The 14,479-nt window shown below is 45.9% G+C and overlaps 2 annotated features.

Moving 5' to 3' along the window:
• Positions 8,679-8,728: an enhancer, noted in NCBI's record as "active region_18124". NCBI's record gives its function as "activates an Ori minimal core promoter by ATAC-STARR-seq in GM12878 lymphoblastoid cells {active_cell/tissue: GM12878}" and the evidence as "EXISTENCE:reporter gene assay evidence [ECO:0000049][PMID:35858748]".
• Positions 8,769-8,818: an enhancer, noted in NCBI's record as "active region_18125". NCBI's record gives its function as "activates an Ori minimal core promoter by ATAC-STARR-seq in GM12878 lymphoblastoid cells {active_cell/tissue: GM12878}" and the evidence as "EXISTENCE:reporter gene assay evidence [ECO:0000049][PMID:35858748]".

Raw genomic sequence — 14,479 nt, forward strand, 5'->3', positions numbered from 1 at the left:
GAGAGATTAATTTACATGAACTCATAGAACCCTCAGGGCAAGTTTATGAGGTATTTACCATCTATGCTCTGCAGTATTTATTTATTTATTTATTTATTTATTTATTTATTTATTTGAGATGGAGTCTCACTCTGTTTTCCAGGTGGAGTGCAGTGGTGCAATCTCGGCTCACTGCAACCTCTGCCTCCCAGGTTGAAGTGATTCTCCTACCTCAGCCACCCGAGTAGCTGGGATTGCAGGCATGTGCCACCATGCCTGGCTAATTTTTGTGTTTTTGGTAGAGATGGGAGTTTCACCATGTTGGCCAGACTGGTCTCGAACTCCTGACCTAAGGTGATCCACCTTCCTCAGCCTCCCAAAGTGCTGGGATTACAGGCGTGAGCCACCGTGCCTGGCTGCAGTAAACATTCAGAAATATGAAGTAACTTGCCCGAGTTCATATGGTCGGTCTTGGGTAGAGGTGGATTTTATCTGTCAGCTGTCTGACTCTGAAGGGATTCTGATTCTGGAAAGTGTGGCATGCAACCTGAGAGACTTAATTTCTTTCTGGAAGATTCCCTTAAGTTATTCTGATGCAGACCCAGGCCTGAGAACCACAGCCTCTCTGCCCACCACATGATGTCACCATCCATAAAACATCTGCTCTCCAGCCTAAATTTGCTCTCAGCTGAAAAGTATTCTGTGCCCATCACATGTGAAGCCTGAAGCACGATGCTGGCGCAGTGGACCCAACAAGAGCACCTTCCTCTCCCCGCCTTGCCCCTTGGAGACGAGGCTCAAGGCTCCAGGCTGAAGAATCAAGTTGATCATCACAACAGCAGTAGCCTCCTAAGCACTCTCTGCAGCTCCACCCCAACTTCCCCTCCAGGCTCTTCTCTTCACAGTGCCATTCATGCCACTGATCTTTGTTGAGTTCCCACTATATGCCAGATACGTCAGGACACATTACTGCAAACAGACAGAAACCTTGGTCTTCATGGAGGTAACAGCTTAGGGGTTTGGGAGGGGTCAGTAAAAAAAAGATAAACAAGACAGTAAGTTAAATATAGAGAAAGGCAAATGATGATAAGCTGTTAAGAAAGAAGGATAGGGCCGGGTGCAGTGGCTCCTGCCTGTAATTCCAATGCTTTGGTAGGGCAAACTGGGAGAATCGCTTGAGGCCTGGAGCTCAAGAGCAGCCTGGACAACATAGCAAGACTCCATTTCTTAAAAAAAAAATTTTTTTTTTTGAGACAGAGTTTCGCTTTTGTTGCCCAGGCTGGAGTGCAATGGTATGATCTGGACTCACTGCAACCTCTGCCTCCCCAGTTCAAGCGATTCTCCTGTCTCAGCCTCCCTAGTAGCTGGTATTACAGGTGCATGCCACTATACCCGGCTAATTTTTGTATTTTTAGTAGAGACGGGGTTTCATCATATTGATCAGGCTGGTCTCGAACTCCTGACCTCAGGTGATCCACCGCCTTGGCCTTCCAAATTGCTGGGATTACAGGCCTGAGCCACTGAGCTCGGCCACAAAAAAAAAGAAAAAAAAATTAACAAATTAGCCAGACATGTTGGCGCCCAGTTGTACTCTCAGCTACTTCAGGGGCAGGCTAAGGCAGGAGAATCCCTTGAGCCCAGGAGTTCGAGGCAGCAGTGAGCTAGGAATGTGCCACTGCACTCCAGCCTGGATGACAGAGTGAGACAGAGAGAGGAAAGAAGAAGGAAGGAAGGAAGGAAGGAAGGAAGGAAGGAAGGAAGGAAGGAAGGAAGGAAGGAAAGAAGGAAGGAAGAGAAAGAAAGAGAGAAAGAAAGAAAAGAAAGGAAAGGCCGGCCACAGAAAGAAAAGAGAAAGAAGAGAAGAGTAAAGAAAAGAAATGAAATGAAAAGGAAGAAAAGAAAAGGCGAGGTACAGTGCCTCATACCTGCAATTTAAGCACTTTGGTAGGCTGAGACAGGAAGATTGCTTGAGGCTAGGAGTTTGAGACCAGCCTGGGCAATGTACCAAGACCTTGTCTCTACAAAAATTTTTAAAAAGTTATCCAGGCTTGATGGCACATGCCTGTGGTCCCAGCCACTCGGGAGGCTGAGGTGGAAGGATCACCTGAGCCCAGGAGGTTGAGTCTGCAGTGAGCCATGATCATGCTATTGCCCTCTAGCTTGGGCAACAGAGCAAGACCCTGTCTCAAAAACAAAAAAAAAAAAGAAGAAGAAGAGGAAGAAGAAGAAGAAAAAGAGGAAGAAGAAGAAGAAAAAGAGGAAGAAGAAGAAGGAGGAGGAGGAAAGGAAGGAAAGGAAGGAAAGGAAAGGAAAGGAAAGGAAAGGAAAGGAAAGGAAAGGGAAAAGGGATAGGTTGAATAGGGATTGTGTGTGTGTTTGTAATTTTTGAGAGCATGGCCAGGGAAGTACTCCCTAAGGCAGGGGGTCAACTAATTACGGACTGAGGCCAAATCCAGCCTATTGCCTGTTTATGTACAATGGCAAGCTAAGAATTGTCTTACATTTTTAAATAGTTGAAAAAAGTCAAAGGAAGAATGTTTTCTGACACCTGAAAGTAACTTATGTGACATTCTATCTCAGTGCCCACAGTGAAGTTTCTTTTTTTTTTTTTTTTCTTTTTTTTTACCCTGAGTCCCGATCTGTTGCCCAGACTGGAGTTCAATGGCATGATCTCGGCTCACTGCAACCTCTGCCTCCTGGGCTCAAGCAATTCTCCTGCCTCAGCCTCCCGGGTAGCTGGGATTACAGGGGTGTGCCACCACGCCCGGCTAATTTTTATTTTTAGTAGAGATGGGGTTTCACCATGTTGGCCAGGCTGGTCTTGAACTCCTGACCTCAGGTAATCCACCTGCCTCAGCCTCCCAAAGTGCCGGGATTACAGGCGTGAGCTACCGTGCCCGGTATCAATGAAGTTTTATTGGAACACAGCTATGCTCATTGGTTTACTTACTGTCTGTGGTTGCTTTTGCCTGACAAAGGCAGAGTTGAGTATCTGCCACAGAGACCCTGTGGCCCACAGAACCTAAAATATCCACCCTCTGGTTTGTTTGTTTGTTTGTTTGTTTGTTTGAGAGGGAGTTTCGCTCCTGTTGCCCAGGCTGGAGCGCAATGGTGCGATCTTGGCTCACTGCAACCTCTACCTCTCAAGTTCAAGCGATTCTCCTGCCTCGGCCTCCTGAGTAGCTGGGATTACAGGCATGTGCCACCAGGCCTGGCTAATTTTTTGTATTTTTAGTAGAGAAGAGGTTTCACCGTGTTAGCCAGGATGGTCTTGATCTCCCGACCTCAGGTGATCCGCCCTCCTTGGCCTCCCAAAGTGCTGGGATTATAGGCATGAGCCACCACGCCCAGCCTACTCTCTGGTTTTTAACCATTCGCTGACTCCTGCCCTAAGATGTCATTTGAAGAGACACCTGAGGCAGGTGAGGGAGCCAGTCATGCATTTATCTGGGGGAATATTCTAGCAGATGTCACAGCAAATGCAAAGACCCTGAAATAGGATGTCTGCTGTGTTCTTGGCAAGGCATGAAACTCACTATGACTGGAGCAGAGTGGATGAGGTCAGAAAGCAAGGATGGACCAGATCACGCACAGTCTTTGCTCCTAGCCTGAGGCAGATGGGAGCCATGGCAGGTGTGTGTGTGTGTGTGTGTGTGTGTGTGTGTGTGTGTGTGTGTGTGAGAGAGAGAGATAGGGTTTTGCTCTGTCATCCAGGCTGGAGCACAGTGGTGCAATCATAGCTTACTGCAGCCTCAACCTCCTGGCCTCAAGTGATCCTCCCACCTCATTCTCCCAAGTAGCTGGGACTACAGACATGAGCCACCATGCCTGGCTAATTTTAAAATTTCTTGTAGAGATAGTGTCTGACTACGTTGCCCAGGCTGGTCTTAAACTCCTGTCCTCAGGTGATCCTCTCACCTTGGCTTCCCAAGGTGCCGGGATTATAGCTGTGAGCCACTGCACCCACCCGCCATGGCAGTTTTGAGGCAAGCGGTGATGTGGTCTGGCTTATTTTAACAGGATCTCTCTATTTTAAGAATAGACTGGCTGGGCACGGTGGTTCACATCTGTAATCCCAGCACTTTGGGAGGCCAATGCGGGTAGATCACCTGAGGTCGAGATCAGCCTGGCCAAAATGGCAAAACCCCGTCTCTACTAAAAATACAAAACTTAGCCAGGTGTAGTGGTGTTTGCCTGTAATCCCAGCTACTTGGGAGGCTGAGGCAGGAGAATACCTCAAATCCGGGAGGCAGAGATTGCAGTGAGCCGAGATCACGCCACTCCACTCCAGCCTGGGCAACAAAGTGAGACTCCATCTCAAAAAAAATAAAAAGAATAGAGTGAAAGATAGAGTGAAAGGGAGGGCAAGAATGGAAACAGTGAAACTAGCAATGAAGGCATTCTAATAATCTGGATGACAAATGATGAGGGGTTGAGCCAGGGAGCTGACAGAGGAGCTGGAATTTATCTAGTGGGATTCTACATCCATGTTGAAGGTACAATAGACAGGATTTGCTCTAGACTAGATACATGAGGGAGCAGTCAGGGATGACTCCGAGGTTTCTGGCCTAAGCCAATAAATGCTGGACTCTCCTTTACCAGAACTGAGAAGACTGTGGGAGGAAGACAAGGTACTCAGTTTGTGTTATAGTAAGTTTAAGATGCCTTTTGGATGTTCCAGTGGAATTGTCAAGTAAGTAGCTGGATATGGAAAGCAAGAGCTGGGAAAGGTCTAAGTTTGAGATACATATGTGGGTGTCAGCATCGTAGGGCCATAGCACTGGACGACATCACTGAGACAAGGGATGCAGATGGGAAAGAGAAAATGTAACTCATACCATGCTTATTGCTTACCCCATCCCACAGATGACCTCTCCAGTGGGCTTTCATCTTTTTGCATAATAAAATCTAAAGTTCTTACCATGTCAATGTTTCCAGAGCACTAGTCTTACCAATTTTCTCCTGGCCTATCAGCTATTAATATCATTGCACTATCCTTTCCTTTCTTCTGGCCGAGCCAGCTCATTCAGCCCTGGGGTCTTTGTCTGCAGTCTCCTCTGCCTGGAATACTCATAGACTTTTGCATGGCTTGCTGGTTAACTTTATTCATAGCTTGGTCCAAATATGAGCACTGCAGGGACCTTCCCCAACTCCTTTAACCAAACAGCTCCCCATTCATCTTGTGTCCATGACCCTGTTTTATTTTCTTTCTACCTATAAATTTGTATGTTTAGTGTTTGTCTTCTTTGGTGAAACTGTAAGCTTCCACTAGGGCACGGAAATTGTCTTACCGTTGAGCAAAGCCTGACATCATAGAAACTCAAATATGTGTTAAATTTAATGAGTAAATAAGGGAGGTACAATAATTTTCTGCTATTTACATTCTGCATTTTCTACCCAAAAGCCTAGCAATGTACCCCATAAACACTCAGTTTAGGAGAAGGCTTTGGGCTCAGTCACAGGCTTCAACACTAGACATGCAGGCAGTAACAGAGGGGACTTGGGAACCAGAGAGTGCACCTTCCAGACAAGGAGGGCAAGATAAAACATTCCTGAGTTTGGGCAGTTTTATATGACGATCAGGATAGACAACTATAAAATAAAGTGAGATGAGACGGGAGGAACAGGCAATGGTTAGACAGTCCCTTTCCAGTTCCTTGTCTGCCCTATCTTTGCAGGTGAAGGGGCTTCTCTTGGGTGTTTGGCAAGGCAAGTTTTGGTCTGATTCTGCATGGGTGAAGATACGAACACCAGGATGGAAGACTTTACAGGGATATCCAAGTTGCAGCCAAACAAAGTCTCACTCTGTCGCCCAGGCTGGAGTGCAATGGCATGATCTCAGCTCATTGCAACCTCTGCCTCCTGGGTTCAAGCGATTCTCCTGCCTCAGTCTCCTGAGTAGCTGGGATTACAGGCACCCTCCACCACGCCCGGCTAATTTTTTGTATTTTTAGTAGAGACAGTGTTTCACCGTGTTAGCCAGGATGGTCTCGATCTCCTGACCTCCTGATCTGCCCGCCTTGGCCTCCCAAAGTGCTGGGATTACAGGCGTGAGCCACCGCGCCCGGCCTTCTTTATTTTTTTGAGACAGAGTCTTGCTCTGTTGCCCAGGCTAAAGTGCAGTGAGTCCAATCTTGGCTCACTGCAACCTCCGCCTCCTTGGTTAAAGGGATTCTCCCGCCTCAGCCTCCTGAGTAGCTGGGACTATAGGCGTGCACCACCACAACCTGATAATTTTTGTATTTTTAGTAGAGATGGGGTTTCCCTATGTTGACCAGGCTGGTATCGACCTCCTGGCCTCAGATGATCCACCCGCCTCGGTCTCCCAGAGTGCTGGGATTACAGGCGTGAGCCACTATGCTTGGCCACAAAATGACTTTCTGTAGGTCTCTGCCAACAAAGAGAATCAACTTTCATCTATTCCTAAAATAAAAGCACCTTGGAGAAGGAAAAACGAGAAAAAATGAGCAGTTATGGGCTGGGTGCATTGGTTCACGCCTGTAATCCCAGCACTTTGGGAGGCCGAAGAAGGTGGATCACAAGGTCAGGAGCTTAAGACCAGCCTGACCAATATGGTGAAACCCTGTCTCTACTAAAAATATTTAAAAATTAGCCAGGTGTGGTAGTGTGTGCCTGTAATCCCAGTTACTCGGGAGACAGGCAGGAGAATCGCTTGACCCCAGGAGGCGGAGGTTGCAGCGAGCCGAGATCGAGCCACTGCACTCCAGCCTGGGCGACAGAGCAAGACTCTGTCTCAAAAAAAAAAAAGAGCAGTTATGTTGAAAGGACAGAACTTGGAAGGGCAGCTTGTTGAAATATAAAAGGAGGGTATTTTAGGGCAGTGAAACTATTCTGTATGATACTGTAATGGTAGATACATGTCACTATGCATTTGTCAAAACTCATAGTCCTGTACAACACAAAGAGTGAACTGTAATGTAAACTATAAACGTTAATTAGTAATAATGTATTACTATTCGTTCATCAAGTGTATCAAATGGACCACATCAATGCAGGATGTTACTAATAGGGGGAATTGTACAGATGGAAGGAGGGAGTTGGAGAAGAGGGCATATGAGAACTTGTCACACCGTCTGGTCAATTTTCTGTAAACTAAAACTCCTCTAAAAAAATAAAGTCTGGGTCGGGCGTGGTGGCTCATGCCTGTAATCCTAGCACTTTGGGAGGCTGAGGCGGGCAGATTACCTGAGGTCAGGAGTTCGAGACCAGACTGGCCAAAATGGTGAAACCCCGTCTCTACTAAAAATACAAAAAAATTAGCTAGGCCTAGTGGCACACGTCTGTAGTCCCAGCTACTCAGGAGGCTGAGGTATGATAATTGCTTGAACCCAGGAGGCAGAGGTTGCAGTGAGCCGAGATCATGCCATTGCACTCCAGCCTGGGTGACAAAAGCAAAACGCCCTCTCAAAAATAAATAAATAAATAAAGTCTGTTAATTTAAAAATAAATAAATGCTTAAAAGGCACTCTGTCTAATGAGTACAAAAATTGGAAGGAAAATGACCCTTCACTTCACTGTTGCATGAACAGGAAATGGAAATGTTTTTGGGCATATGTATCTCTTGGGAGAGTGAGGTGGAAAACAATACCAGCCACCATTCTTTAATTTGGATTGATCCACTGTTCTTGATTTTGAATAGCAGGTGGCTTTGCTGTGGTGTTATTGTTGTTGCTCTTTTTTTGTTTGTTTGTTTGAGACAGAGTCTTGCTCTGTCGCCTAGGCTGGAGCATAGTGGCGCGATCTCGACTCACTACAACCTCCGCCTCCCGGGTTCAAGCGATTCTCCTACTGGGATTACAAGCACATGACACCATGCCCGGTTAATTTTTGTACTTTTAGTAGAGACAGGATTTCACCATGTTGGTCAGGCTGGTCTCGAACTCCTGACCTCGTGAACCACCCACCTTGGCCTCCCAAAGTGCTGGGATTATAGGCGTGAGTCACTGTGCCCGAACGTTGCTCTTTAATGTTAGTATTTTGTTATCCCAAAGAAAGCTCTCAGACCACGGAGACTCTTAAAAGACAATATCAAATGTTTCAACAACTGACAAACCTCAGACTTCCTGTATTTCTGTAAGTTGCAGTTTTCCCTTCCTTCTTCTTCTAATTTGTTAATATCTCTGGGGCCACAGGCTCTCTCTCTCTCACACAGGTCTCTAACTAGATCAGTGGATCAAAGGTGAGGCTTTGCTAAGTAATCAGGGTAATTTCACCGGTGTAGCAAGCTATTAAAAACAGACCTGCAGGGTTTTTCAAGGACAACCAAGGTATTGATTTGGCAACCAAAAACTCCTGTAGTGCAAGCAATAATACACCAGGGCCAGTGTTTCCAACACCGTCACAACTCCTCCCCCTCCCTGTCCCTAGTGACATTACAAAAGGCACAGCTAAGGCCGATACTCCAGCTCCTATGCCCCTGCTCCTGTCTTCAAAAGGAACGTCACTGTTATAAATTAGACAAGGGAAGAAAAACCTCATTTCTTTGATGATTTTTTTAAAGAGCTTTGTTTTCCCACGCATAATTGTTCTTCCTATTCATTATGCCTTTATGTAGACTTTGCTTTTTCCTTTAAAGAATACACTTCTTATGTAATTTGTTTTGCATTTCTGGAATGAGGAACTTTTCTGCTCATATTGTTGTTAAAATCTAGACAACACGCCCGTGTGATAGATCACCCTGAGCCTTGGAAGGAAATGATTCACCACAATACTGTAACTGAAAGTCGTCTAACACCAGGGCTGGAAGGCAGGCTATGAACCGCTGCATTACCTGCGTGCAGCAGCAATGGGAGGCAGCCAGAGGTTCCCTCGGCCTGCCTAGCTCACTTCAGCTTTGTTCCTGTTCTGTTTCCTCCGTCCGAGTAGCAGGATGCTGGAAATTCATCCTCCATTTTTAAGTTTTAAAAGAAACCCAAAAATTGTGATTTTTTTTTTTTTTTTGACACCGAGTTTTGCTCTTGTCACCCAGGCTGAAGTGCAATGGCACGATCTTGGCTCACTGCAACTTCTGCCTCCCAGGTTCAAGGGATTCTCCTGCCTTAGCCTCCTGAGTAGCTGGGATTCCAGGTGCCCAGCATATGCCCAGCTAATTTTTGTATTTTTAGTAGACTCAGTGTTTCACCATCTTGGTCAGGCTGGTCTTGAACTCCTGACCTCAGGTGATCTGCCCATCTCAGCCTCCCAAAATGTTGGGATTACAGGGGTGAGCCACTGCACCCAGCTGGGATTTTTAATAAGCCACATCTGCCCAAATGGGCCTTTCCAGGCTACTGTCTTATAATTTTGCACTTAAATTTGTATTTAAACCACACATTAATGCACTGTATGGAAAAAGTGAACACCAAACATACCTATTACTAATAAAAAGATTTCAAACAATAAAGCCAAAAGAGCAGAGAAACTAAAAATAAAAAATATGTATTTTATTTTCCTCTGCATGTTTTTGGTGAAGGCAGATCATAGATTACGCCCATGTCAGAAACAATGCAATTTTATAATTCTTATGAAAAATGGGCCAGGCGCAATGGCTCATACCTGTAATCCCAGCACCTTTGAGAGGCCTAAGTGGGTGGATCACCTGAGGTAGGGAGTTGGAGACCAGCCTGACCAACATGGAGAAACCCCGTCTCTACTAAAAATACAAAATTAGCTGGGCATGGTGGTGCATGCCCGTAATCCCAGCTACTAGGGAGGCCGAGGCAGGAGAATTGCTTGAACCCAGGAGGCAGAGGTTGCAGTGAGCCGAGATCGCTGGTTGTGGTGGTGTGCACCTGTAGTCCCAACTAGTCTGGAGGCTGTGGTGGAAGAATCTCTTGAGCCTGGGAGGTTGACGCTGCAGTGAGCCAAGATTGTCACCGAACTCCAGCCTGGGCAACAAAGCAAGACCTTGTCTCCAGAAAAACAAAAACAACAACAAAAAAAACTAATTAATATTTCAGTAAAATTTAGGTATAAATTTGGCAAGAATATAGTTCTTCACTTTTTTTCACTATGCTGCTCTTTTCTAAAATCAATTGATGAAATTTAAAAATTCGAGTGAATGTGTGTATGAAAACTGAATTAATCTGATATTTTCTTATATAAATTTGATTTCCATGATTACAGCTGAAATTGAGTTTAAGCTAACACAAATATTCAGGTGGTTTCCCTCCCTCCCTCTGTCCCTCCCTCTTTCTCTTTCTTTCTCCCTTTCTTTCTTTCTTCTTTCTTTCGACAGGATCTCTCTCTGTCGCCCAGGCTGGGTGTGGTGGCGGGTGCCTGTAATCCCAGCTGCTGGGGAGGCTGAGGCATGAGAATCACTTGAGCCTGGGAGGCAGAGGTTGCAGTGAGCCGACATCAGGCCACAGCACTCCAGCCTGGGCAACAGAATGAGACTATGTCTCAAAAGAATAAATAAAATGAAATGAAATGATGATAATAATAATAATAATAGTGCTAGTCTTAAGAGTGGGCTGTGCGGCTGGGCGCAGTGTAACCCCAGCATTTTGGGAGGCTGAGATGGGTAGATCACCTGAGGCCAAGAATTCAAGACCAGCCTGGCCAACATGATGAAACCCGTCTCTACTAAAAATACAAAAATTATCCAGGCATGGTGGCGCGCACCTGTAATCCCAGCTACTTAGAGACTGAGGCAGGAGAATCACTTGAACCCAGGAGGCAAAGGTTGCTGTGAGCCAAAGATCATGCCACTGCACTTCAGCCTGGGCGACAGAGCAAGACTCTGTCTCAAAAAAAAAAAGAGTGGGCTGTGACAGATGGATGACAATCCATTGAAAGCAGGTCTCAGCCATCTAGGTCAATCTGGGCAGCTGCTTATTTCTGTAAATAAAGTTTTATTGGAACACAGTTGAGCCTACTCATTTACATATTGGCAATGGCCTCTGTTCTACTTCCGGTTAAGACAAAGCCTCTAGCGCTCAAAGCCTAAAACAGGTATTAGCTGATGCTTTGCAGAATGTTTACTGACCCCTAATCTAAAGTATTTAGTACAGTTACTCGCATCTGGAAGATACCTGCTATTTATATGTTAAGTAAACTCAAAGGCAAAGATCAGCTTCTGTTTATCATTCTTCCTTTCCCTGGGTTCAGCAAAGGCCTTGCACATGTAGTGTGTGCTTTGTGAAATATGAAGTTAACATAATTCATGACAATAAAATATAATTGTCATGATATAGCATTCAGAGAAAGTTGATAAGTAATAAAACTTTGGGCACAGTTTCAATTTAAAATAATCCCAATCTACTTTTTCAGTATTCCGTAATTTCAGTTAGAGTGCAAATAATTATGTAATATTGGAATGCCATTCAACTGGCTTGTATTTATGTGAAGAGAAGTTGGTCAATGTGAAAGGAAACCAACATTACCATCTTTTTTTTTTGAAGCTGTAATGATCATAAAATGTAAATGCATTCTGCAAACTTCAAATAATGTGTTTTAATGGCCTAAACCCCTGGTAAAGTTAGCTTTTAGAGCAGACACAAAATAAAATTGGGTCCTGAATACTGGTTGGTGCATCATGGGGTAGAGGCAGAGGAAGAAAGAGGGGAGAGGCCAGGCGCAGTGGCTCACGCCTATAATCCCAGCACTTTGGGAGGCTGAGGCAGGCAGATCACTTGAGGTCAGGAGTTTCGAGGCCAGCCTGGCCAAAATGGTGAAACCCTGTCTCTACAGGAAAAAAAAAAATTTAGCTGGGCATGATGGCAAGTGCCTGTAATCCCAGATACGCGGGAGACTGAGGCAGGAGAATCGCTTGAACCTGGGAGGCAGAGGTTGCAGTGAGCTGAGATGGGACCACCGCACTCCAGCCTGGGTGACAGAGCGAGACGCCATCTCAAAAAAAAAATAAAAGAAAAAAAAAGAAGAAAGAGGGCAGAAAAAGAATGGAGCGAGATATCATTAGCTCACCACTCCAGCTGAAAATCAGTTCAAAGTAGAGCTCTGTGCCATACCAGTCCCCAGCGTGGGCACTTCTAATTACAGTCAATGAGCATTTTGTTTGTAAGGGAGAATTTTTTTTTTTTTTTTTAATAGGGACAGGGTCTCACTCTCTCGCCCAGGCTGGAGTGCAGCAGCATGATCATAGCTCTGCAGCCTTGAACTCCTGGGCTCAGTTGATCCTCCTGCCTTAGATTCCTGAGTAGCTGGGACTACTGGGACTACAGGTGCAGGTGTGAGCCACCACTCCTGGCCTTGGGGAGAATGTTAACTTCTAAGTAGAACTTAACCAGAGGCAACACTCAAGAATTCCCAAGAGCAGCAGGCATAGTGGCTCCCCCATGCCAGCATTTTGGGAGGCTGAGGCCAAGGATCCCTTCAGCCCAGGAGTTCCAGATGAGCCTGGGCAACGTAAGGAGACCTCATCTCTCTCTCTCTCTCTCTCTCTCTCCCTCTCTTTTTTTTTTTTTTTTTTTTTTGAGACAGGGTCTCACTCTGTTGCCCAGGTTTGGAGTACAGTGGCACGGTCTCGGCTCACTGCAGCCTCAACCTCTTGGGTTCATTGCCTCAGCCTCCCGAGTAGCTGGGATTACAGGTGTGCACCACCATGACCAGCTAATTTTTGTATTTTTAGTAGAGACAGGCTTTCACCAGCTTGGCCAAGCTGGTCTGGAACTCCTGACCTCAAGTGACCCGTCTGCCTTGGTCTCCCAAAGTGCTGGGATTACAGGTATGAGCCACTGCGCCTGGCCATGGATTTATTATTATTATTTTTTACTTTTTTATACAAAGACAGTAACCCCAAGAGGACAGAAACCTGCTCACAGCTGTATTTGGCACCTAATATGACATCTCGGAGGTATTCGAGGCTAATTTGTTGAAAAGTATGAAAGCAGGTTCTGTTTTTTTGGCTCTGTTGCCCAGGCTGGAGTGCAGTGGCGTAATCTTGGCTCACTGGAACCTCTGTCTCCCAGGCTCAAGTGATCCTCCCACTTCAACCACCCCAGTAGCTGGGACTATAGGCATGTGCCACCACAACTGGCTAATTTTTTATTTTTTGGTAGAGATGGGGGTCTTGCTGTGTAGTCCAAGCTGGTCTCAAATTCCTGGGTTCAAGTGATCCGCCCATCTCAGCCACCCAGAGTGCTGGGATTATAGTTATGAGCAACCGTGCCCTGTTAGCGGGTTATGTTCTAACCCCTGACAATGAACATTTTCCCTGCTCTCCTGGAGTGTATGTTTTAGTCAAGAAAGGCTGAAAGCGATCAAGAGAGCAAACAAGTTCATTATTAATAATCGTGATAATTGCTCTGAAGGAAACGGGGCCTAAGGTCAGAAAACCAGAATCATAATTTTTGTTCTTGACCCAGGGCCAGGCACAATATTTCGACGATGCCAAAAACTCAGTGATTTACATAAATTATACATATATATACGATTTTTTTCTTTTTCTTCTGTCACCCAGGCTGGAGTTGCAGTGGTGCGATCATAGCTCACTGCAGCCTAGAACTCCAGGGCTCAAGTGATCCTCCCACTTCAGCCTCCTGAGTAGCTAAGACCACAGGGGTGCACCACCACACCTGGCTAATTATTAATTAATTAATTATTTCAATGTTTTATTTAAAAAATTATTTATATAGAGATGGGGTCTCACTGTGTTGCCCAGACTGGTCTCAACCTCCAGGGTTGAAGCCATCCTCCCACCTCAGCCTCCCAAAGCGCTGATATTACAAGCATAAGCCACTGCACTGGGCCTATATAAATAATACTTTAGGCTGGGCACAGTGGCTCACGCCTGTAAGCCCAGCACTTTGGGAGGCCGAGGCGGGCGGATCACCTGAGGTCGGGAGTTTGAGACCAGCCTGACCAACATGAGGAAACCCCATTTCTGCTAAAAATACAAAATTAGCCGGGCATGGTGGTGCATGCCTGTAATCCCAGCTACTCGGGAGGCTGAGGCAGAAGAATCACTTGAACCCAGGAGGCAGAGGTTGCGGTGAGCTGAGATCGTGCCATTGCACTCCAGCCTGGGCAACAAGACCAAAACTCCATGTCAAAAAAAAAAAAAAAATTAGCTGGGCATGGTGGCATGCCCCTGTAGTCCCAGCTACTCGGGAGACTGAGGCAGGAAAATCGCTTGAACCTGGGAGGCGAAGGTTGTGGTGAGCCGAGATTGAGCCACTGCATTCCAGCCTGGGCAACACAGCAAGACTCTGACTCAAAAAAAAATAATAGGCCAGGCATGGTGGCTCACACCTGTAGTCCCCGCATTTTGGGAGGCCGAGGTGGGCGGATCTCTTGAGGTCAGGAGTTTGAGACCACCCTGGCCCTCATAGTGAAACCCCGTTTCTACTAAAAATGGAAAAATTAGCCAGGCGTGGTGGTACACGCTTGTAGTCCCAGCTACTCAAGAGGCGGAGGCAGGAGAATTGCTTGAACCTGGGAGGCAGAGGTTGCAGTGAGCCAAGATCACTTCACTGCACTCCAGCCTGGGTGACACAGCAAGACTTCATCTCAAAAAGAAAAATAAAAAAAATCAAAATAG

This window comes from Homo sapiens, chromosome 20 (genome assembly GCF_000001405.40).
Source record: "Homo sapiens chromosome 20, GRCh38.p14 Primary Assembly".
NCBI classification, from domain to species: domain Eukaryota; kingdom Metazoa; phylum Chordata; class Mammalia; order Primates; family Hominidae; genus Homo; species Homo sapiens.